Source organism: Homo sapiens, chromosome 5, assembly GCF_000001405.40.
Source record: "Homo sapiens chromosome 5, GRCh38.p14 Primary Assembly".
In the NCBI taxonomy this organism is placed as follows: domain Eukaryota; kingdom Metazoa; phylum Chordata; class Mammalia; order Primates; family Hominidae; genus Homo; species Homo sapiens.
Window position 1 is genome coordinate 150,630,302 of NC_000005.10, and position 24,396 is coordinate 150,654,697.

At 52.6% G+C, this 24,396-nt stretch overlaps 1 protein-coding gene across 14 annotated transcripts in view, besides 3 other annotated features; it reads left to right on the forward strand.

Moving 5' to 3' along the window:
* SYNPO (synaptopodin) overlaps window positions 1-24,396 on the forward strand; it is a 73,198-nt gene that overhangs the window by 44,292 nt on the left and 4,510 nt on the right. For 8 of the 14 annotated variants that reach the window (XM_047416688.1, XM_047416689.1, XM_047416687.1 and 5 more), the window contains one exon: window positions 17,643-20,002. In XM_047416688.1, the coding sequence (XP_047272644.1) occupies window positions 17,643-20,002 (2,360 nt within the window). Of the gene's footprint in view, window positions 1-9,999; window positions 10,125-10,358; window positions 10,554-17,642; window positions 23,932-24,396 lie in introns of those variants that run through there. The other 6 variants (NM_001166208.2, NM_001166209.2, XM_024454351.2 and 3 more) reach the window with 4 other exon arrangements.
* Window positions 10,041-11,240: an enhancer, noted in NCBI's record as "CDK7 strongly-dependent group 2 enhancer chr5:150019904-150021103 (GRCh37/hg19 assembly coordinates)". NCBI's record gives its function as "activates an origin of replication core promoter dependent on BRD2, BRD4, P300/CBP, MED14 and CDK7 cofactors, with strong dependence on CDK7, by STARR-seq in HCT116 cells {active_cell/tissue: HCT116}" and the evidence as "EXISTENCE:reporter gene assay evidence [ECO:0000049][PMID:35650434]".
* Window positions 14,495-14,733: a silencer, noted in NCBI's record as "fragment chr5:150024358-150024596 (GRCh37/hg19 assembly coordinates)". NCBI's record gives its function as "represses an EF-1alpha promoter that drives an FKBP-Casp9 reporter gene in an ReSE screen in K562 erythroleukemia cells {active_cell/tissue: K562}" and the evidence as "EXISTENCE:reporter gene assay evidence [ECO:0000049][PMID:32094911]".
* Window positions 21,316-21,817: an enhancer, noted in NCBI's record as "H3K4me1 hESC enhancer chr5:150031179-150031680 (GRCh37/hg19 assembly coordinates)". NCBI's record gives its function as "activates a minimal SCP1, AML or CMV promoter by ChIP-STARR-seq in naive H9 embryonic stem cells {active_cell/tissue: H9 hESC(naive)}" and the evidence as "EXISTENCE:reporter gene assay evidence [ECO:0000049][PMID:30033119]".

Below are 24,396 nucleotides of genomic sequence, written 5' to 3' on the forward strand. Positions count from 1 at the left end.
CTGAGGTCAGAGTGTTTAGGGAGCAGCCCAGGGTCACACAGGCAGAGGACACGCTTCATCCCTGAGCCTCCTGTCCTGCCTTCTGGGCCGCTTAGTTCTTGTGGGCTCCATAGGAAGATGAGATGTTGGGGACCCTCCCATGGATCCCTAAGGTGGCCCTGGCCTCCTCAGCCAGGACATTATTCCCAATATGGGGCCCTTTGGGAGGGCACATGGAGTTGGGGGATGGGGAGAGTACTGATTAAAAAATAGACTGTCACGCGCACGGAGAACAAGCATGCCACCACCCAACCTGAGCCAGTTGGCTCCCCCATGCCTGGCTGCCAGGCCCCACTCAGGTCTCCTGCTGGGGGCCCCGCCCACCATACCCTGGCTCTGGGCCTGAGGCTGAATGCTCCCATCCACCCTCTCCTCTCCCTCCTCCATCCCTGCCCAGCCTCCAGGCAGATGGTGCTCTTACTGAGCTTGGGTGGGCCTGAAGCTCAGCTGTGGACTTTAAGCTGTGCCAGGGGTGTCTGGCATCCCCACACACTGGCTGTGTGGCCTTGAATGAGCCCTTTCCCTCTCTGGGCCTCAAACATTGACAGAGTAATGCTGTCAATCAAAGTTCTTTCCCAGATTTCTTCTCTCATTTAGACCTGACAGACACTGCAGGAGACCCCACTCAGAGAGGTGACCTGCAGTGGCCACTCAGCTAGGGTGCAGCAGAGCAGAGGCCAGTACCCAGATAATTGTGCAAATCCCAATCCTGTACAACTCCGGGTGAGTGAGGTCACATGGGAGCATGAAGGCAGGAGGCTTTGCAGTCATGATGTGAGCAGTGTTTCATGCATTTGCTCTTTTACTTAGTCAACAAATGTTTATTCAGGCCCAGCTATGGCCGAGGCACAGGGGCATGGACATAGCCAAGGTCCCTGCCCTGCGGGGACAGGCAGACTGACGTGAAAACAAATCCTTATGGAATTACAAAGCTGATGAGCGTTTAGGGAAGAGGCAGAGAGTGTTGTGGCAGGAGAATGTGACCTCTGAGGGCCTTGGGACCTGTGAACAGACCTGAAGGATGAGAAGTGTGGTCAGAAAGGTGCAGCCAAGGGGGCAAGGGAAGAAAGAGCTCTAGGAAAAGGAGCAGCCAGTGCAGAGGCCCTGAGGGGAGAAAGTGCTGGGCTGGCCGAGCACTAGAAAGAGGGTCAGCATGGCTGGAGCCTGGCAGGCTGGGAGGTGAAGCACCACGACGGGAGCTGCAGCGCAGGGGTCAGGGCAGTGGGGCTGGTGGTACAGGGCCTGGAGCCTGCGAAGGGGCTTGAGGCGGATCATAGGAAAGAGGAGCATGCTGGTGCTGATCTAGGAGGTGGGTCTTTGCTCCTTTCCTTTCCTCTTTCCCTTGGATGTCCACCCTGATAGTGCTATCGACAGACCCCATTCATGCCCCCCCAGCCACTTCTTGAGGTGGCTAAATGCAGAGTCTGGGGCCCTCTCTCCCCCATCTCTTCAAGGAGGGTTATGGAGGCCCAGCAGGCCTCAGATGCAAGCTGGTGAGAGTGCGTTCCTGGGCAGGAGGCTGCGGTCACTCAAGCTGAGTGCCCCTGTTCAGGTGAGTTCTTATTTCCTTTTATTCCCTGTGGGAGTCTGTGGACAAAGGAGGGTCAGCTTGTGTCTGAATGAAGGCCGCCCCAGACCTACTTCCACTGCCTGTAACGGCTGCCTGTCCCCTGTTCCATTCCAGGCACCAACCCCCAGCCAACCCTGGAGCCAAAACCCCGGGATGGCAGGCAGGAGGCTTGCATCCTGAGCCCAGCTCTGCTGTACGCTCTAGGGCACACCCCTTTTTCTCCCTGGGCATCAGTTTCCCCATCTCTATTATAGATAAATACTCTAATTTTTCTACACTCGGTGTATGGCCCATGGATGCAGTATCAGCATCACCCAGAAACTTGTTAGAAATGCAGAATCCCAGGCCTCCTCATCCCAGACTTCCTGAATTACAATCTGCATTTTGACAACATTCCTGAGTAATTTCCATGTACTTTAAATTATGAGAAGCGCTATTCTAGGTCAGTTATTTTTAAACTTAAGATAAATGAAAATCTATAGCATATTTTTCCTTCTCTAAAGCTTTACATATAAACACATAAGAGGGCACCCACCCACTGTATATTTATTCATCCCATGAACAAGGAGGGGGAGGAGTGTGGAGGGGTAAGTTAGAGGCACAGGCTTTATTAGGATGGGCGTCAGGAGGAGGAAAAGATAAAACAGGCTGGTGGAGGGGCAGGTGCCATCTGCTCACCCCCTGAGAGCTTCTGACAGTTGGCCTCTAAGGGCCCTTTCGGCTCTGCCCTCCAGGCTCCTCTGCTTTATGGGTTTGGAGAAGGAGTGCTTGATGGTCCATAGCCCAGTGACGTCTTTCCCTGCTTGTCCCTATCTTGCTGTCCTGCCCTCTTCCCCTTGGAATCCCTGAAAGAGTAGCCGGTGCTATTCTTAGTGTGACAGGGTGGTGAGGAGAGAACATACTAGTGCATTATTTATGTTTGTGAGTCAACAGGATTACATTCGGGACTCCCAGAACACCGCCCTCCTAGCGTGGCCTTCATCACAGCCATGGCAGGTGGTCCACTATGTGCAGAGGGGAGGGCAATTTCCCAGGACCTAGAAACCATTCCTTCTGGCCCTGATCGTCCCTGCTCAGAGTCCCTACCCCTCGACCTGGGAAATGACTCATGAAATACCATGGTCAGTTAGGACTAGGAAAGAGCTGCTTTGGCCATATCATTTCCTTGCATCATGCATTCAGCATATATTTATTGAGCACATATTACATGCTGTAGGTGTGGGTGCATGGGTGGGGGAAACAGGGTTCCTGCCTTCCAGGAGCTCACACTTTAGCCAGAGAGCTAATGTGCAGTAGTATAGGTTTCAGGCCTTTGCCTGTGTGAGAGCTGATCTGAGCAATAACATAGCAGAGTGGGAATTAAGAATCTTTTAGAGGAAACTGAGGCTCCGCACATATAAGGCTTGCTAAAGGTCACCATAGCTAGTGATCAGGTTGAACTCAGATTAGTTAGAATAAAACAACTATTTTAGAGCAGATGGTAGTGTGTAGCGTTAGGGCTCTGGGAACTCCCTGCACTGCCAGTGAGAGGGGTCTTGTGGCTGGAAGGAAATTAACTGGTTGAGGTTGTCCTGTTCTCCAGAGGCATGGAGAAGTCATGTGTGCTCAGAGTTTTCATAAACCTGGAGTGGTAGGACAGTTACACTGGGGGCTGGGAGTCAAAATCACATGGGATGAGAGGATAAGGCCCCGAGGTGGGGCACCTCATGAGGCTGTGCCAATGGCTCTGGCTAGGAGCCAATGAACCATGTGCAGTGAGATCCTGGGCAGGTCCCTTGCCCTTTCTCTGCCTCAGTTTTCTAGTCTGTAAAATGGTGTAACAATCCTTGCTCTGTCTCTATCTCTGATGGATGAAAAGTGCTAGGAAAACTATAAAAGTGTTGTGCATATTCAAGGAATGCTATAAAATTACCGTATATAATTATCATAGGCTGTGTGCGGTGGCTCATTCCTATAATCTCAGCACTTTAGGAGGCCAAGGTAGGAGGATTGCTTGAGCTCAGGAGTTCAAGACCAGCCTGGGAAACATAGTGAAAACGCACCTCTATTAAAATAAAAATTAAAAAAAAGACAATTATATAAATATATTTTATTAAATGTATTTTTATTAACATTATGGAGTCTTACTGTGTGAAAGTCTGTATTCCAGACATTTTCTTGTGTTCACTAACTTACACACTTAGTTATAAGATCATGGACTCTAAAGCCCAGTGGGTTCCCAACCTGGCTGTACACAGAACCCCTTCGGGAGCCTGTTAAGGTGTATATTCTGTGGTTCCTCCGGTCTAGGATAAAGCCCAGGAATCTGCATCTTGACCACATTCCCTGAGGGATTCTGAAGCACCTGCAAGTTTCTGATCTGGACCAGAGAGGGGAAGGAACTTGCCAGAGGCCTCACATTGAATTGCAGACCAGGTTGAGGCTAAAACCCAGATCTCCAGCTCCTGGCCTGGTCCTTTCCCTCTACTGTTCAGTTGCCTCCAAGTGCCCTAGAGGAATGAAGGTGGAGATGACTTTGGTGACACGTGAGGATGCTGGTGGTGGTGCTAAGGTGTATGGTGCTATGGTAGGCATTTCATATGGCTTATCCCATTTAATGGCAATAAGGATAGAAAAGGGGACATTTGACTGGGCACAGTGGCTTATGCTTGTAATCCCAACACTTGGAGAGACCAAGGCAGGAGGATTGCTTGAGCCCAGGAGTTTGAGACCAGCCTGGGCAACAAAGTGAGACCTCGTCTGTACAAAAATTTTTTTAAAATTAGCCGGGTGTGGTGGTGCATGCCTGTAGTCCCAGCTACTTGGGAGGCTGAGGCAGGAGGGTCACTTGTCCCTGGAAGGTCACTGCCATGAGCTGTAATTGCACCACTGCACTCCAGCCTGCCAGCCTGGGTGACAGAGTGAGACCCTGTCTAAAACACACACACACACACACACACACACACACACACACCACACACACACACACAAAGGGGACACTCTCCACAGCCACATGATCCCCTGGGTCATTTGAGCATCAAGTGGCAGATTTTAATGTACCCTTGGAAAAGGGAGACTATGACTGAGATGCAGAGATCCTGGAGAAGTGAATTTGAAACCATACCATCGGTGCATTGTCCATTCTCCAGGAGCATGTGCCCTCAAGGCAAGAGTTGTCTGCTAACCCGGTTACCTGAAGACGGGGCAGGCTGGCAGGAAGGAAACACATACGTCCCACAAGGTGTGTACCTGATGCCCATCCATCCATGCCAGCCTTCCACGAGTCCCGTGTACCTGCGGGTGCTCAGTGTGCACATATTTATGTGTACGTCCTGCCCCCTCTGTGGGTGTGCATGCGTGCCTGGGCACGCTCTGCTGTGTGTAGCACAGGCTTGAAGCAAGCAGCACCTCTGTGTGTGGGCATACGTGCAGAGGAGGATGTGCTGCTGCCGGCTGGAGCCTCTCCAGCATTAAGAGGCTACTGAGAATGCGTGTATGTTGCAGGTGTATGTGTGTGTGTATGGAAATGGTTGCAATGCAGAGCTCAGAAGGAGAAGGGCCATTAAAGAAAACATTTTTTTGTTTGTTTGGTTTTTTTAGACAGAGTCTTGCTCTCTTGCCCAGGCTGGAGTGCAGTGACGCAATCTGGGCTCACTGTGACCTCCACCTCCTGGGTTGAAGTGATTCTCTTGCCTCAGCCCCTCAGATAGCTGGGATTACATGCATGCGCTACTATGCCTGGCAAATATTTTTTGTAGAGACGGGGTTTCACCATGTTGGCCAGGCTGGTCTTGAACTCCTGACCTCAAGTGATCTGCCCGCCTCGGCCTCCCAAAGTGCTGGGATTATAGGTGTGAGCCACCGCACCCAGCCCACACTTTTCTTATTCGTGTCCTACCTCCACATTATGTCTATCATTCTTAAACCTGCCAGGTATGAGCCTGCCTCAGGACCTTAGCACTTGCTGTTCCCTCTGCCTGCACTGTTGCCTTAGACAAGCATATGCCTCACTCTCTCACCTTTTTCCGTTCTTTGCTCAGATGTGCCTTCTCAGTGAGGATGGCTTTGGTTATCATATCTACCTTTGCAAATCACTCCTCACCCCTTACAGTCCATATATCTCCAGTCCCTGCTTTATTTTTTTATAGCATTTACCATCTGACTTACTTGTGTATTTATTATCTTGTTCCCTTACCCGAATGCAAGCAGAGATTTTAATCTGTTTCCCTTCATGCCTGTGAACGGTGCCTGGCCCTTAGTTGGTGTGTAATAAATACTTGTTGAATGAATGAATCCATGCACCACCTATACATATTTTCTTTAAATTTTGTTAGTGAAATGTCCACTTTAGCCTCTCCTTAAGCAGTAATATACCTGAGATCACAAGTGTGTTCATTATACCTCTTTTCCAATTCACATTTGAAATGTATATAACTATTAAGATTTTAAATATCAAGGTACCACCTAAAATCCTTTTTGCTTCCATTAGTGGTGGGGGCACCACACTCTAGGAACCACCAGTCCAGTCCAATCCCTCCTTTGGACAAATTGGATGCACTGAGGCCCCAAGAGGGTCAGGGATCAGCCCAGTGTCTCACCCAAATTGTGACAGGACAGACCCTGGAACCAAATCTCCTGACTTCTAGTCTTCTTTTCTTTTATAATTTGAGGGAAACATGGAGGGCAGGACTGCATGATTCAGCCTCTCCCTGGCAGGAGACTCCTCCTGTTGGAGTGGGGCCAGACCTGCCTGGTAATTGGTGAATGGCAGCAGAGGAGAGGGCCATGGCAGGGTCAGCAGCCTCCAGCACCCCAGAGCCATGGTGTCCTCCTCTGAGGGGGCCTGGGGTTCAAAACTGGTTCTGGCTAGAAGTGACATGGGGATCCCCTGTGCAGAGAGAACGCGGGGTGGGGGGTGTTGGGAAGGGGGATGGGGTTGGACTGTGTCTGATAATGAGCAGAAGAGTGAGACCAGACCCAGAGAGGGGTGGTGAAGACAGGGAGAGAGACAGATACAGCCCCAGCCTGGTCGAGTTACGCAGAGGTGGGTGTGTGCAAAAGCCTACAGTTAACCACCCCCCAATGTGTGCACAGTGCTTTATACTTTAGAAATCATTGCTGCATTTCATTTACTCAGCAGCTACTCTGCAAAGCAGATATTATTATCCCTGTTTTACTGATGATGAAGTTGAGACTCAGAGAGGTGAAGTGATTTACTGAAGGTAGCCCAGCAATTTGAATAGGATGCCTTGCTGAGCCATAGATGGGGGAAGAACTGGCTGCACCTCTGATTGGATTTGGTAAAGGAGGGCTGTCTGTGGGAGGAGCGGGCAGGCTGAATGGATTCGGGAGTGAGGGGCCGGCTGGAAACCCACAATCCACTCACTGGCCAAATAACCTTGACAAATCACAAAACCTTTCTTTTTGAGGCTCAGTTTCCTCATCTGTAAAATGGGAATAATGGTACTCCCTAACTCACAGCCTGTGAGGATAAAATAAAACAACATGATGAAAAATGATAACACTGAAACCGAATGCCTCGCACATTAGAAGTGCTCAGTAAGCAGCAACTTGAGTAATGAACATGATTGCACCCGGCCCCTGAGGAGTTTGCACACGGTGACCACCTGCCACGACTGAGGGATTCCCAGCGCCTTCTTTGGCAGCTGTGAGCGCGCCTGAGACCCCGTCTGGGGAACCCGCAGGGGTTGGGGGCAGGTTTGTCTGTCCCAGAGCCCCAGGCTGGTGATGACGCCTCCTGGGGATAAACCTCATCTCTCTGTTGTTTACCCCATGTGCGGTGACTTTGTCATTATCGTTCCTCCTGCGTTTTTTCTTTGAGTTATTTATTTTTCTGTGAGGAAGGAATGTGGGGAATTTACCACAGGGCGCTGTCCTTCACTTTCAGCTGGGCTGCACGGCGTCCTTTCCTATAAGAAGGAAGCTGCTGAGACAGATGGCAGGAGAGGTGGAGGCGGAGGGTCCCAGCTGGCTCTGTGGCCCAAGGAGTTGGGGGCAGTTATGTAACCCACCCGGAGGCCCAGGTTCTGGTCTCCGGGCATGAGCCTGGTAATGTACATAGCTCCTGTGGAACTGTGCCTAGCCCTCCCCATTCACCCCTGGCCTCTGGGCAAGCCCAGTGGGTGTGTTCCTCTATCAAAGTTTCCTTTCTATTCAGCTGGTCTTGATTTGGGGTATGGGGGTAGGTAGGGGAGTGGGGTGGGGGTTATCTTGAACCTCCTAGTCTCTGCTGAGCTATCATCATTGCTTAGAATGCTTCCTTATCTCCATCTTTCAAGAGCTAGGACATATGTCACCTCCTCCAGGAAGACTTCCTGGATTGCTTCATCCTAATTCATCTTTCTCTTAGGTTGTATGTTCTCCCCTCACTTCATGAAACATTCTTCCCCTTAGGTCTAACACAGTGATTTGAGATTTCATCTCCTTCCCTCACAAACGTGTTGCTCTCTCCTTCCTTCTCCTCCCACTCCCAGGAACCACCCTCTAGATCTTTGATCTAGAATCTAGATGAATCTTGGATTTAGACAAATCTAAAATTCATCTCCAGGGATGAATGGTGAAGCAAAATGTGAAGGGGGAGGCTTTGGATTCTGGAAGTGCTTGTCCTTTAGTAGTTTATTTAATCAACACAGTGATGGTTTCAACCCCTCCTGGGTGATGGCTTCTGCTGAGTCTGGGGACATTTACAGAGGACAGAGACCAGTCCTGGCCCTAGGCTGGCACAGGGCTAAGGGGAAGGACCACATCTTTGTGGCGGGCCCAGAGTGTGTCAGGCCCTGGGAAGAGTGGAGGGGACCCGCAGATGACCTAGGCCCTGCCCTGACCCTGGCAGAGGCACTGTTTAGGGGAAACCACCTCTTTCCCTGCCCTGGCTTGCCACCTTTTTGTCTTTTAGATTATGTGTTTTCTCTGGAAAGGCAGGGTATGATGGTTCTTTCTGTACTCCCAAGGCTTCCAGGGAGCTGGGGCTGGGGAGAGTGAAACAGCAGGAGGGGGCTTCGTGAGCACAGGCTTAGCTCACCAGGGTTGGACTGGAGAGGTGGAAGCCTGGGCTGTGATCCTGTGATCCTCTCTGTGAGCCCTCCCTTTTCAGTTTGCTGTATACCTGGGGCTCAGCTTGCCTCTCTCTGGGTTACCATCTCAAAGTTTCTAAAAATTGACTGATTATAGATTAATAATTACCCCAGTAGAATGGGCAAGAGAGAGGCTGTGGCTCCTGGCCTTTGGCAGGGCCCTGGTCAGCCAACAGGGAGCAGGGCTTGTGGTCTGCAAGGATAGAAGATGGGTCAGGCTTGCGCTGACTGTGGAGCCCTCATCTTAGCTTCCCCTTACCCATCCATCTCTGCCCTCCCTGATCCCGACCCACTGCCAGCAGAGAGAAACCAGAAGTTTGGCCAGGCCCAGCCTCCTTCCCCTGGGTTTCTGAGTTTTCTCAACCTGCCGTTTCCTCTGAGCTCTGTTCCTGCTCTGGGGCCTCTGGGCCAGGTTGAACAGGGGAGGAGCACTGATCTAGGAGTCTGAATGGATTGATGAGGGCTTCCTACAAGAAGTGGCCGTTGGGCTGGGCCTGGATGGGTGAGTAAGGAAGGTGAATTTGCTTTGTGGGGAGCTCTTCAGAAGGAAGGCGTCCAGGCTTGAGATCAGTCAGACCGCAGGGGCCCCTTGCTAAGCTGTGAGACCTGGGGTGAGTTAGCTGCTTCTGTGTGCCTCATCTTCCTTATCTACAAAATGGGGATAAGGGAACCTCCTCTATGAGTTGCTGTGAGGATTAAATGAAAAAAGGCATGTTAAACCCTTGGCTTGGCAGCATCTGGTGCTCCCAAAATGTTGGCTCTTGTCATTCTCATAGATTTCATGTTTATTCTGCAAGTGCCAATGGAAGATGTGGTGGGGACAAGGGAGGAATACCGAAGTGAAGCAGTAGAGGCCCCTGCCCTCGAGGCCGTTGCAGTCTCTGGGGGAAAATAGGGCCCAGACCCTCATTGCTACAAAGCAAAACACTGGGAGGGGGCAGCATGGCCCACGTGACTGGCCCTGCACTGGGCATTAGGCCAACCTGGGCTTGAATTTCAGCTCTTCCTCTGGCTGGCTGTGTGACCTTGAGCAAGTTGCTGCACCCCTCTGAGCCAGCGTCTTCTCTAATATGGAGATGAGGATAGTGCTGGCCTCATGGGTTGCTGTGGAAGTAAGTGAAGTAAGGCCCTGTCCTGCTACCTGGCATGTGGTGAGTATACCCTGAAAGATTACTTTTACTAGAATAAATAATACACAAGGTGGTGGTTATTAAGTGATGCAGACAGAACATTGGTGAAGGCTTTTTGGAGGGGGTGGTGGCATTCTAGGTAGGCCGGAAATCTGAAGGATTAGGGCATGTAGAAAGGATGTGAGACAGAGGAGGGTTCCCGGTAGAGGGGGTCTGTGCAAACGCTGCTTTGCAGGCAGGAATTCATTGGGCAGCTGTGGGAACTGCAAGCCACTGAACTCCCTCCACTGTTGCTGAGGGCACAGAGAGAAGGTGAGTGAGCTCTTGGGCAGGCCCCGATAGCAGGGGTTTGAATGCCAGGATGAGGACTCTCCTCTTGATCCTCCATGTCCTGGGGAGGCAGCAGAGGGTTTTGAGCAGGAGAGAGGCATGAGTGGAGCCCGGAGGGAGGAAGATGAATCTGGCAGCGTGGGGCGGGTAGATTGGCGGGGGAGAGACTGGGGGTGGAGAGGCCATTTAAAAGGCTGTTGCAAAATCGGTTTTCCTGATAAAGAGCTGGGCTGAGTCATCTGTGGAGGAGAAAAGTCACATCCAGCTCCTTCATGTTGCTGCCGATGTGGGATTTTCCTGGCTTCGTCAGCCAAGCAATTGGCTGCCTTTGCCGGAGGCTTTGAGAACCAAGGCTTGAAGGCCGGCAGGAGCATCCAGGGGGAAGCTTGGCTTCAGGGAGGACCTAGCAGAGTGAGTAAGATGAGCACCCGGAGGTGCCTTTGTGGCTTGGGGTATATGACTTAGGGCATGTGGCATCCCCCCTCTGATCTTAGTCTGTCCTCTGGGCATCAAGGGAGAGGTATGTGGTGATTTCTGCCAGCCTGTGAGTGGTGAGGCGGGGGCTGGGCCTGGGGCTCCCCACCCCATTTCTGTGTCTTCTCCCATGCCCGGCAGTCCTTCCCACCAAAGTCTAGATTGTTCTCCTCCCAAGAGGAGGTCTGGCAGTCTGCCGACCCCAGTCAGATTGCGCTCGCCATGACTCTGGGGATGGAGAATTCTCCAGGGCATGGAGCCTGTGTCATTTCCTCCTTTCAGTGGGAGGAATGGGGAAGGGGCTGGCAAGGTAGCCAGGCCATTACTCAGGCCTCTCCATTTTCCTGCCCCCAGCTGAGCCAGAGGTTGTGCAGTGGCCAGTCATTGGTTCCTTCCTGACCTCACCAGGGGGGCAGTTTACCCAGCCTGTTTACCCTTCCTGTCGCCAAGACCCCTGGACTACCACAATGGGCTGCCTTGAGCCAATCTCTATTCCTACCCCTGGCTCTCTGTCCCACCCCGCCCCACCTGACCCTGGCTGGACACTCCCATTGACGGCATCGTGTGAAGAAGCATTTCCTTGAATTCTCCCTGTCCTGACCTTCTGCTCTGGCCTCCCTTCCCCGGCCCCACCTCCCTCCTGTGGATCCTCCATCCACACGGGCCCCAGTGGTGGGCAGAACAAGCAGCTGTCCACAGTGGGTGGTAGGGGTGGGGGAAAGGGTTTGTCCCTTTCTACGCCAAACAAGAACTGGGGTCTTCTGACTCCCAACATAGTGATCTTCCCACTCTACTCATCTTTCATGCCTTATCAGTCCTTTCTACCTTAGTAAGAATGAGTTTATCAACTCTTCTCCTGAAAGGAAGAAGTGGAAGAAAGAAGGAGTTGTTCTAGGCAGCTGGGTTTTCAGGGGAGAAGACATTGCTGAGGGGCATTGATCACAAGATGAGGGAGCAGAGGGCTTTGCAGACCATCATCCAAGAGCACTGGAGCCTCTCTTGTTTCTCCTCTTTCCAGAGTCCTAGTCTGGAAGGAGAATAGTTAAGAGATTAGACTCAGAGCCAGACTTTTCTGAGTTTGGATTCCAGCTCTGCCACTCATAAGTTGTGTGACCCTGGGCAGGTCTCTCTGAGCCCCAGTTTCATCTGCAGAATGAGAAGAATCACAGGACTTATGTCTGGGAGCTGTTGTAAGAACTGAACAAGGTGGTGAGCATAAAGTGCACAGCACTGAGCCTGGGCTGCAGCAGGGGCTCAGTAGTGACAGCAGTCGTTGCAAAGCCCCTTCTCATGGCTGTGCTGGGGCTTCTCGCCTACTCCCCCACTTCAGGATTTACCCTGTTGGACCCAGGTCTCCTGACCCCAGGCAGCTTTTCATTGTGCCCGCCCTCCACCCCTTCCTCTCTTGAAGGCCTATCTTCAGGGCTCCTGATCCAGTGTCCAGGGTGGGTCTTTAAAGGGCTAGCACCCCAACTTGGCCCTGCAGAAGTTTAGGTGGGGAGGCGGTGGGGACATCATGACTTGCACAAGTGCAGGCCACAGCCAGGCCGATTGAGGGTTCAATGAGGTACCTGTCCCCTGTAGCCTTTGGCTACCTCCCCACCCCCACCTTTGACACCAAGAGCATGATCTTGAGCAGCTGCTGCCTGGGATATTGCCAGAGAGGGCAGCTCCCTAGTCTGAGGAATTTTAGATGGAGTTGCCCCCTGGTGCCCTGCTACGAGGGACTCTAGGGTGTCCCCCCGCCTCCCCAGCTTTGTTTGTGAAGGGTGGCGAAAATCATCTGGATGGCTGGCTGGATCTGGTCCAAACCTCCTGCTGAATTCCTTTTCCATGGAGTCACTGTGGGCTGGAGTGCGGGCTGCAGGAGCTTGCCTTGGAGGGCAGGGCTCTCTTACCTCCTGGCCTTTTCTGCCATTCCTCTTGTTCCAGAACAGTAGCTTGGGAGCAGTTCTAAGCTCAGAGAGGTGGTGGTGATGGGATCTTAGCGGCAGCCCAGGTTGTGCATGGAGCCTCACTGAGAGTCAGCTGACCTGGTCTTGGGCTCACATCCTCCTCTCTGACCTCTTCCTTGGCTGGGCCTCCCAGGCCAGCTTATTTCTAAAGGCCCTTCATATTCTGACATTTGAGGATTTTCTAAACCCATGGCCTTCTAGAGCCAGTAAGGAGAAAAGCAGAAAAATGCAGGGGCATTGAGAGGTCTGGAGTAATCAAACACTGAAGTGCTTTCTATGAGCCTTGCAAGGTGGGAACCGGCCAGCCAGGAGCCTGGTGCTCTCTGCAGTAACGTAGAGCCAGGTGTGAACAGAGCTCTACTCCTTCTGGCTCTGTGATCGTGGGCAGCTCACTTTACCTCTCTGAGCCGTAGATTTCTCATCAATAAAGTGTGCATAATAATAGTTTGTGATTTGTAGGTTTGTTTTGGAAATTAAATAATATGAGTAAAGTCTGTGTATAGGTGTACAGTAAGTGACCAATCAATATTAGCTACTATTGCTGCAACTGTGTCATAAGAAACACTGGCAGGACTAGAGATGTTTATCCTGACCCTGTCCCAAGGGGATCTGATGTATCTGCAAATCTCTGCAGGGCTGTCAGGCTGGAATGAAAGAGAAAACTTTTTGTTGTTGTTGTTGAGATGGAATGTCGCTCTGTTGCCCAGGCTGCAGTGCAGTGGCGTGATCTCGGCTCACCGCAACCTCTGCCTCCCTAGTTCAAGCGATTCTTTTGCCTCAGCCTCCCAAGTAGCTGGGATTACAGGCGCCCGCCACCACGCTTGGCTAATTTTTGTATTTTTAGTAGAGATGGGGTTTCACCATATTGGCCAGGCTGGTCTCGAACTCCTGACCTCGTGATCCACCTGCCTTGGCCCCCCAAAATGCTAGGATTACAGGCGCGAGCCACCGCGCCCGGCTGAGAAGACTTTTTCTCTGTGCAGCCTGGGGAGGCAGAACCACATCAAGAAAGCGGATGATGGCTGGACGTGGTGGCTCACGCCTGTAATCCCAGCACTTTGGGAGGCTGAGGTGGGTGGATCACTTGAGCTCAGGAGTTCAAGATCAGCCTGGGCAACATAGTGAAATCCTGTCTCTACAAAAAATACAAAAATTAGCCAGGCATAGTGGCATATGCCTATAGTCCCAGTTACTCAGGAGGCTGAGGTGGGAGGATTACTTGATCCTGGAAGGTTGAGGCTACAGTGAACCATGATGGTGCCACTGCCCTCCAGCGACAGAGCAAGACCCTGTCTCAGAAAAAAAAAAAAAAAAAAGTGATTGGAAGTGAATGTAAGGAGGAACTTTCTAGCTGAGGAATGTTAATTAGTGGAAGACACCTCCCGGGGGAGTGAGCTCGTCACCTGAGTATGTCAGCAGAGACTTGCACACTCAGCATGTTGTTTTGAAGATGCAAGAATTGTGTGGGAATTGGACTTGGTGACAGCCACCTCTGAGATTCCGAGGTTCTGTGTTTTGGGGCAGTAAGCTCTGCCTCCGTGTAGCTCTGGAATCTCCTGCTATTTGACCTTCAGTCAATCCCCTGTGCTAGAAGAGTATCTGACCTTTTCCAGGGAGTGGAATGGGGTGACCAATTGCCAGCTTATGCCAGGATAGCATGAGCCCTCTGTCTGTCCACCTGGGCTTCATGGCAGTCAGGCCTTGGCATTTTCATGATCTCTTTGTGGCCTCCCAACACTCATGTCAAGTTAAGGAGACTGTGGCTCTGAGAGGTACAGTAACTTGCCAAGGTCACACGGCTAGCAAATGGCAGAGCTTGGATTCAGGCCAGGAGGCCTGGTTTCTAAGCAGAGCAGGGGAGACAGACACAGCATGAGCTGAGCAACCTCTCAGAGCCCTCCAGTGTGGCTGGCACCCCATCCCTTAGGCTCCTCCCAGGGGAGCAGCCTGGCTAATAGATGGCTAATAGACATCTTTAATAGATAGGGTGATCCAGGCAGGAGAAGAGTCCTACTCGGGGGGAGTAATATCATGGGTGGGTGGGATAGGCTGTGTGCTTTCACTGTTTCTAATAGGTTAGGGGAAAACCAGGTTCGATGGAGGAGGGAAGAAGGAGGTTGGGGCCAGAAAACCTGTGGCTGCCCCAGTGGAGCTGCTGTGACGCTGCTGGTCACAGCTTCTTTGCTCTGTGTGGGCCTCCCTGCGGGTCCCATGTGGGGTCACCCGGCTCTACCCTGGGCTACTCTCTGGATCTCTGTTTCCCACCTATAAAACAGGGTGGTGATGAAATACCTCCTCTGTCAGAATTCTTCCAGCTCTGAGAGTCCATGAATTCAGAGCCTCGCTGGCAAGATGCCTGGAAAGACTGTCCCTGGAGACAGACTCAGCATGCCATGGCCAGTGCTAATGAGGGCAAGGGAGGGGAGGGCAGGGTCAGATTCCTCAAGAACTAATTAGCTTCCCACAGTAGGGAGGAGAGGGGCAATGGAGGGAGGAATTTTCTTAGCCACTGATGTTGCTGGTCACAGGCTGATCCATCCACCTGTCTGTCAATGCATTTGTTCATGCAGCATTTGTTCATTTATTATTCAACAATTATAAATTGAGCATCAACTGTGTGCCAGCTGGCCACTGGGGATAGAAAGAGAAATGGTTGCCTATGGTGATCTTATAGATTAATAGGGGACTGAACTCAGCCTGATCTCAGGACCTCAAATCCCAGACTGAACCCCGACCCATGATGACCTTGTTCCTGCCCCTTATGTCCCAAAGAGACCTTTTGGGATGAGTAGACCACTTGAGCATGGACTAGAGACCCCAGAAAGAACAGTTCTGACTCCAGCTTTGTCACCCTTGGCTTTGCAACCTTGGGGCAGTTCCTTATATATCTCTGAACCTCCGTTTCTTCTTCTGTAAAACACAGGCAAGCAATGCTTGTCTCATTGTGGTCTTGTGCAGATAAAATAAAAGAATGCAATGTTCTACAGTAGTCATTGGTGAAACTAGCTCAATTTGTTACTTTTCTAGTGTTAAAAGATGTGAATTTTAAAATGAGTATTTAAGTAAAACTAGGAAGAAATCCTGGGAGGAGATAGAAGAAACTGATTGTGATACAGAGTAATCAGGGATGGGGTGACACTTTTTACTGTATACCTTTTTATGTTTTAATTTTTAGGGCCAGGTATAGTGGCTCATGCCTATAATCTCAGCATTTTAGGAAGCCAAGGCCAGAGTATCACTTGGGCCCAGGAGTTTGAGACCAGCCTGGGCAACACAGGGAGACCCCTTCTCTACAAAAAATACAAAAAAAAAAAAAAATTGGCTAAGTGTGGTGGCGCACACCGATAGTCCAGATATTTGGGAGGCCGAGGTGGGAGGATGACTTGAGCCCAGGAGGTTGAGGCTGCAGTGAGCTATGATGGTGCCACTGCATGCCAGCCTGGGCAACAGAGCAAGACCCTGTCTCAGAAAAGTAAAAATAAAATAAAAATGAATGAATAAATAAATTTTTAGACTATGTGAATGTATTACCTACCCTAAAAAGGGGAAATATTAGTGGCGTCTCTTTATAAAATCAAAGCACATGCCTGTAATCCCAGCACTTTGAGAGACTGAGGTGGGCGGATCACTTGCGCCCACCTGAGTTTGAGACCAGCCTAAGCAACATGGTGAAACCCTGTCTCTACAAAAAAAAATACAAAAATTAGCTGAGCATGGTGGCATACATCTGTAGTCCCAGCTACTTGGGGAGCTGAGGCAGGAGAATCACTTGATCCCAGGATGTCGAGGCTGCAATGAGCTGAGATCTCATCATTGCACTCCAGCCTGGGTGACAGAGTAAGGTACTGTCTCAAAAAAATAAATAAATACAAATTAAAAAAAGCAGACGGTGGTTTATTAAAACATTTTTGTTTAAAAAAATTAGAGCACATTCCTATGCTATAATTCTGAAAGTATAAAGGGCCCTAAGGAAGGCACACAGAAAATATTCTGGGGGTTCATTTGTGCATTCAGCAATATCTACCGAGTGCCACTGTATGACAGGTGCTGTTCTAGGGGCTGTTGTTAGAGTGATAAACAAGTCAGGTGGCCGGGCACGGTGGCTCACGCCTGTAATCCCAGCACTTTGGGAGGCCGAGGCGGGTGGATCACCTGAGGTCAGGAGTTCGAGACCAGCCTGGCCTACATGGTGAAACCCCATCTCTACTAAAAATACAAAAATTAGCCGGGCATGGTGGCACATGCCTGTAGTCCCAGCTACTCGGGAGGCTGAGGCAGGAGAATCACTTGAACCTGGGAGGCGGAGGTTGCAGTGAGCCGAGATTGCGCCGCTGCGCTCTAGCCTGGGCGACAAGAGCAAAAACTCCTTCTCAAAAAAAAAAAAAAAAAGTCAGGCAAGGTCATTGCCCCTTGGAGCTATGCTGTAGGTGAGGAGACAGATAATAGACAGGGAAACATAAAGATCATTTCAACTTGGTGAATGCTATGGAGAAAACAAAACAGATGGGATAGGAGAAGGAAAGGTGCCTCCAGAGAGGGGACATTCCAGCTGAGACTTGAGTGGCAAGATAGGAACCAGCATGGACTGCTACCTGGGAAAAGATTATTCCAAGGAGAGCGAGCAGCAAGTCCAAAGGCCCTGGGGCAGGAACATACTTGGCATTTTCAAGGAAGAGAAAGCAAGCCAGTGTGGCAGAGCCTAGTGAGAGAGGAGAAGGCAGTGGGGAGGAACTGGGGACACGGTGGGACTTCTAGGGTGAGGTGTTCGTACTCAGTTTGGTAAAGTGCCATATCAGCAACTGTCAGGGGGATTCCAAATCAGGGACCAGTTAATCCTGAGAGGATAATCAGGGTGGCGTAGACGTGGTGGCATTTGAGTTGGGCCATGAAAGGTAGGTCAGGGCTGATTACGAAGTGAGCTAATTCTAAGAAACAGTGAGTGACGATTAAATTCCAGAAGAGATCCTGTGTAGGAAGGGCCGAGGCGACCATCTCTGTCTGCCTGTTTGTCCGTGCACCCCTGTGTCACTGCATTCCTGTTTGCTAACTGGGCTTTTGTCCCTCCCTGTAGCGTTGGGCCGGAGCACTAGCCTCACGGAGAAGGATCTGAAAGAAGCCAAGGCGCGGAGCCAGCAGATTGCAGCCCAGCTGACCACCCCTCCCAGCTCCAATTCCCGTGGCGTCCAGCTCTTCAACAGGCGCCGGCAGAGGGTGAACGAGTTCACCTTGGAGAGCCACGGCCAGAGGGGACAGAAGCCCAGCCAGGAGTCCCTCAGAGTGCTCCCTTCAAGCCTCCCAGGCCATGCACCGGGGCTCAGCCTGAGTTCCACCTCGCTGCCGGAGCCAGGCCCTCCACGGCACCCCAGTCCCCAGAGCCCCGACAGAGGGGTCCCTGGCCACAGCATGGAGGGGTACTCAGAGGAGGCTAGCTTGCTGCGGCACCTGGAGAAGGTGGCCAGTGAGGAGGAAGAGGTACCACTGGTGGTTTATCTAAAGGAGAATGCAGCACTGCTGACAGCCAATGGGCTGCACCTGTCCCAAAACCGAGAGGCCCAGCAGTCCTCACCGGCCCCACCTCCAGCTGAGGTCCACAGCCCAGCTGCAGATGTCAACCAAAACCTTGCCTCGCCCAGTGCCACGCTCACCACACCAACTTCTAACAGCAGCCACAATCCGCCAGCCACCGATGTCAATCAGAACCCACCGGCAACTGTTGTCCCACAGAGCCTGCCACTTTCTAGCATCCAACAGAATTCCTCAGAGGCCCAACTCCCATCTAATGGCACAGGGCCTGCTTCCAAACCCAGCACCCTGTGTGCTGATGGGCAACCCCAGGCACCGGCTGAGGAGGTGAGATGCAGCACACTCCTAATTGACAAGGTATCAACTCCAGCTACCACCACCAGCACCTTCTCCAGAGAAGCTACGCTCATCCCCAGCTCCAGGCCCCCAGCCTCAGATTTCATGTCCAGCTCCCTGCTCATTGACATCCAGCCCAACACCCTAGTGGTGTCAGCAGATCAAGAGATGTCTGGGCGAGCAGCTGCCACCACGCCCACCAAGGTCTACAGTGAGGTCCACTTCACACTGGCCAAGCCCCCATCAGTGGTCAACAGGACGGCCAGGCCTTTTGGGATCCAGGCGCCAGGGGGCACCAGCCAGATGGAGAGGAGCCCCATGCTAGAGAGACGACATTTTGGGGAGAAGGCCCCGGCTCCCCAGCCCCCCAGTTTGCCAGACAGGAGCCCCCGGCCACAGAGACACATAATGTCCCGCAGCCCCATGGTGGAAAGGAGGATGATGGGGCAGCGAAGCCCGGCCTCAGAGAGACGCCCCTTGGGGAACTTCACTGCACCCCCCACCTACACTGAGACCTTGTCCACAGCCCCTCTGGCTTCCTGGGTGAGGTCTCCTCCCTCATATTCTGTCCTGTATCCCAGCTCCGACCCCAAGTCTTCTCATCTGAAGGGCCAGGCGGTTCCTGCCAGCAAGACGGGCATTCTGGAGGAGTCGATGGCCCGCCGGGGCAGCCGCAAATCCATGTTTACTTTCGTGGAGAAGCCCAAGGTGACCCCGAATCCAGACTTGCTGGATCTGGTACAGACAGCGGATGAGAAGCGGCGGCAGAGGGACCAGGGGGAGGTAGGCGTGGAGGAGGAGCCCTTCGCACTGGGGGCCGAGGCCTCCAACTTCCAGCAGGAGCCAGCACCTCGTGACAGGGCCAGCCCCGCGGCGGCGGAGGAGGTGGTACCAGAGTGGGCCTCCTGCCTCAAGTCACCCCGCATCCAGGCCAAGCCGAAGCCCAAACCCAACCAGAACCTCTCCGAGGCCTCTGGGAAGGGAGCTGAGCTCTACGCCCGCCGCCAGTCACGGATGGAGAAATATGTCATCGAGTCTTCAAGCCACACGCCAGAGCTGGCCCGCTGCCCATCACCTACCATGTCCCTGCCTTCCTCCTGGAAATACCCCACTAACGCCCCCGGGGCCTTCCGAGTGGCATCCCGAAGCCCAGCCCGGACCCCGCCTGCCTCCCTCTACCATGGCTACCTGCCTGAGAACGGGGTCCTGCGCCCAGAGCCCACCAAGCAGCCGCCATACCAGCTGCGCCCCTCGCTCTTTGTCCTCTCACCTATCAAGGAGCCTGCCAAGGTCTCACCAAGAGCTGCCTCGCCCGCCAAGCCCAGCTCCTTGGACCTGGTGCCCAACCTGCCCAAGGGGGCTCTCCCTCCATCTCCTGCCCTGCCTCGGCCCTCGCGCTCCTCACCGGGCCTCTACACCTCCCCCGGCCAGGACAGCCTGCAGCCCACTGCCGTGAGCCCTCCTTACGGCGGTGACATCTCCCCCGTGTCTCCCTCCAGGGCGTGGTCTCCCCGAGCCAAGCAGGCCCCCAGGCCCTCCTTCTCTACCCGGAACGCCGGGATCGAGGCTCAGGTGTGGAAGCCTTCCTTCTGCTTCAAGTAACGAACCCCACGGGGGTCCCACTGCCGGTCAAGTTCCCCTCCTTGAGGGCCAGATGGAGAGCAGATGTGGCAGGAAATGGCACAGAGCTGAGTGAGGAGAATGGGGAGTCCATGGTTCAAGGTCAGATGCGGCCACCAGCTGGCTTTGTGACCTTGGGCGAGTCGCCTCCCCTCTCTGAGCTGAAGCCGCCCCTCCCCTACTACAACAGGGGTCGGACTCCATGTCTGAGCGGGGAGGAGGGTCATGGAGAGAGAACTGTCTGGCAGCCCTGATGCGGTAGAGGGGCATCCTCTGGCCTTTGTGAGCTGTAGGGATGCAGAGTCTGATGCCAGCGTCTTGCTGGGGGAGTGGCCTAGAAGGGGATCCTAACAGGGACTTCTGGAGCAGACAGAGCCTGCCAGTGCCTGTGGAGTCAGCCAGCCGAGGGTCTGCCTCCTCAGCTGCCCCAGGGGGGCCTCCCTCCTGAGGCTCAAGCTCCTGGCGTCTTTCTTCCTGTTGCTGGATTCTCACCTCCATGGGCCTGTCTCTTCTGCCTCTGCCTTCTGGACACCGTTTCCTCTCCGCTGCTTCAGAGAGCTTTGCCTCGCCTCCGCCTGCGCTCCCCTCCAGGGTCCTTCTGCTGGCTGCGGACTCGGCCCACCACTGCTGTCTGACGCTTTTCTTCCTGCCCCCTCTGAGGCCTGGCTCTGTTTTAGGGAGATCACTGGGCCCAGGCCTCAGCCCCAGTTCTACCTGGCTTGCTGTCACCGCTCTAGGGGTGGGGGACGTCCCAGGGGATCCCCAGGAGAAGGAGAGCCCTGTAGGGGGCTGTGCAGATGTGGGTGTGCCACAGGGAGGGTGGCCCCTAGCCATGTATCCATTGGCTGTTTTGGCTTCAGATTCAACCAAGATCTGCCTGACTAAAAGAAGCCACCTCAGCGCAGTGGAACGGGGCCCAGGGGGAGGCAGGAGAGGAGGGTTCCGGTCCCATGTCACCTTCTCATTTGCTGTGTGACTTTGGCCCACTCACATTCTCTTTGGGCCTCAGTTTTATCATTTATACAAGGAGGGCTTTTCTAGCTGTAACAATCTGTGAGGATTGAGAGGATAGGCTGGTGCTTTGAAGAAAGGCCTTGTAAGTGACAAGACAGTCCCCTGGGAAGAAAGAGAAAGGAAATGGGCTATTGCCAAAGGACAGGTGGCGTTAGATGGCTGTGAGGGTGACCTGGTGAGGGAAGGGTTGGAATGAGCTGCTGCAGGAGGCCAAGGGATGCCTGGGCTGGGCTGGGCTGGGCTGGCTTAGGCTCAGGATTGCCTGGGGACAGTAGGAGCATGGCAGGAGCTGGGGCAGGTGCATAGCAGTGCAGTGGGAAGGGACAGAGGAGATCTTAGAATTTTGAGGAAAATCTGGGACTTGAGACCTGGATTCTAACAGACCAACTGCATGTGTGTCTGTAGGTCTCAGTTTCCACATTCATACAGTGAGGGTGTTAAGTCAGGTAGCTGGAGACTTCCCATCGCCTCTGACACTTTTGGAGGTGATATGATACAGCCCCCGACCAAACCAGGCTTTGTGGGGGGTGAGAGAATACAGACACAAGTGGCAGGATTCAGATGGAAGCTTCGCAAGGCTGGGGGCCGAGGACCACCCACTTCTCTTTCCCAGCCCTAGTTCTGGGTTCCCCAGTGGGGCAAGGGGTGGTGGAGGCAGTGCCCATGCTGGGCTGAGCCTGCAGTTTTTGTGAGCTCTGGGCTTGTCTCCATGGGAACAGGGGTGCCTTCTTAGTGAGCTCATTTCACACAGATCGAGGGGGTATGCGTGGGGGAGTTGTGAGTGAGCTCAGCTCCTTCAGGCCTGGCCTCTCCCAGAACAGAGTGAAGCCCCTGCCCTGGACCCCTGCTCCCTTCTACCCTTGAGGGCCACCAATGGAAGAGCCCGCCCTTCATTCTGCAGCTCCTGCGGCCAGGCTGAGCTCTGCCCCCAACTTTGTTTTCTCTCATGTTCTCAATACACTCTGCCTCAAATCCGTCTTGCTTCTTTCTTTCTTCCGTGCTGCTAGGGGTCAGGGTTCCCTTCCTCCTGCCTGATTCTAGCCTGGGAAGTGGAGTGGGCCTGCTCAATTACTGTGTGTGAAAGTGTGGCTGTGTCCTGCGTGCTGCCTGCACCTGCCGTGTGTCTGGTTCTGCACTGGTACAGACGTGTGCTGGGTTGGAAATGAGGGCTTCCTCTCTACAGCACTCAGGGAGCCAGAACCCTGTGCAAATCGCAACCTTTTGTTCTTTCCTTCCCTCAGAGTTTGGCCAAAAATACTTTAGAGGATTTTTGGGGAAAATGCACTACCTCTTCTCGTTGAGGTTTGTTTGGGTTCTTTACAAGTGGAATAGAAATTCCTCTAGCCAGCATTCGCTCTCCAGTTCCCTCAGGTCCCCTCCCTGCTCCCCATTATCTAAATTTGGCCATTTCCCACATTTGCCATTGTTTTCACTGTCTGGATCCTAAAAGCATGGAGTTTCTGCCCCTGGTGGGGAGGAAAGAACTGCCATCAAGGGTCAGGAGAGCTGGGTTCTAGCCCCAGGTCTGCATCTGATTCGTGTGTGACCTCAGACAACCTCTTCCAATCTCTGGGCCTCAGTTTCCCCTTCTGTGCAGTGAAAGGATTACAGAAGGAGGTCAGAGACCATTTGGTCTCCGACAGTCCAGGTTTGACTGTGTTCTACTTATGTATTCACCCCACACATGTGCCCTGCTTTGGGTCTGGGGTTGGGTTGAGTGGATGCTACTTTTTGAATTTTCACCCACCGCATTCCCAAGGAGCTCTGGTGTGCACGGTGCATTGAGCTCTCTGTCAGAAAGTGAACAGTTCTGATTTCCTGCAGCCTTTTCGTACTGTGCACACCCCCGACTCAAAAACATACACACAGAGTCAGTGCCCAGGCATGGCTGTTAGGGTGAGGTCAGGCTCTGGCCCATCTCCAGATGATGGGGATCTGCTTACCACTGCCCTCAACATTCAATCCCGTTTGAGCCCTTCTGTTTTGTAGTCTTGGCTGAATTGTTATTTCTTCCACTTGTTGGCCTCAGCATTCCCCTTGTGGCCACCAAAGGCAGAAACAATGCTTTAGAGATTTTTAGGTAGTTATCATAGCTCTCCTGTGCAGCCTACTCTCCTGGCTGAAGACCCCAGGTTCCGCTGCCTTGGGTGGTTATTGACTGGCTTGGGTCATGAACTCTAGGCCCTACCTCCCTGCTCAGGGTGGCACTGTGGTCAGGTGTTGGGTCATGCCAGAGCCCACCCTGATTTGGCATTTGGCCCTAGCCCTCCTCTTCTAGCCCTGGAGCTGGGACCTTCCTCCCAGCTCCTCTCCCTAAACTGTGGGGTCTGCCTTCTGCGGCCAGCCTGACTGGGATGTTCCACTGGCACAGAGAAGCTCCCAGTGTCTCTGGCTCATGTATACACAATTCTGACCCTGGGAAGAAAACAGTGGGATCCCAGGCTGAGCCTTAACTTTCAGCTTGATGACTGGGAGCTTGGATGTCCCTAGGGAGTCTCTAAGGGTCACTCCAGCATTAGTATCCCATGAAAAATGTCCTGCTCAGGCTGTTGTATAACATTCTTCTTTAGGTTAAAGGGCTCCAGTTTGGAGTCTGGGCTCATCTAGCAGCTGCTACATTCTGTTTGGATAAAACATACAATTGGTGTCTATTTCCTTTGGATTGGGAGGAATTAGAAGACTCTCAGTTGGATGAGAGGATGACTGGCTTGGTTATGGCTGATCACTGATTGGATGAAAGAATAAATCTTTGGATGGTTCTAGATTTTGATCGGGTAGGAAGCATGGAATGGACTGGCTAGCTCTGAACTCTGGTGGATGACTGCTAGTGAATTTGGATTGGATTAAATGGCAAGGTGGACTGGTTATTGCTGGAATCTGATTGGGTGAACAGTTGGAAAGTTCAGGAGATACATGTTAGGCAGGGATTCCCAAGCCCTCCACTTTCAAACCAGTTCAAACCGCTTAAACATGTAGCCTTTGAGCAGCACACACACACACACACACACACACACACACTTCCTGGTGGGGCAGAACACACTAGATTGTTATTTACACCTCTGAGCTTCATTTTCATCATTTGTAAAATGGGTGTGGTAATGCTAATTACCTCACTAGTCTGTTGTGAAAACCTAATGAGATAAAGGATGAGAATGAAGTTTGTAGACTGAAAGTCCTTAAGTACATAGGAAACAGGTATGGCTCTGCATCGCTGACCAGTGCTTCATAGCCTCCAAGCTGTTCACCATCTTGGCCTCTCCAAAACCACACTCCCCTCCCCATTGCTGTGAAAAAGCTCAGTGAGGGGCGTGTGCTGCCTAGGGAGGAATGGC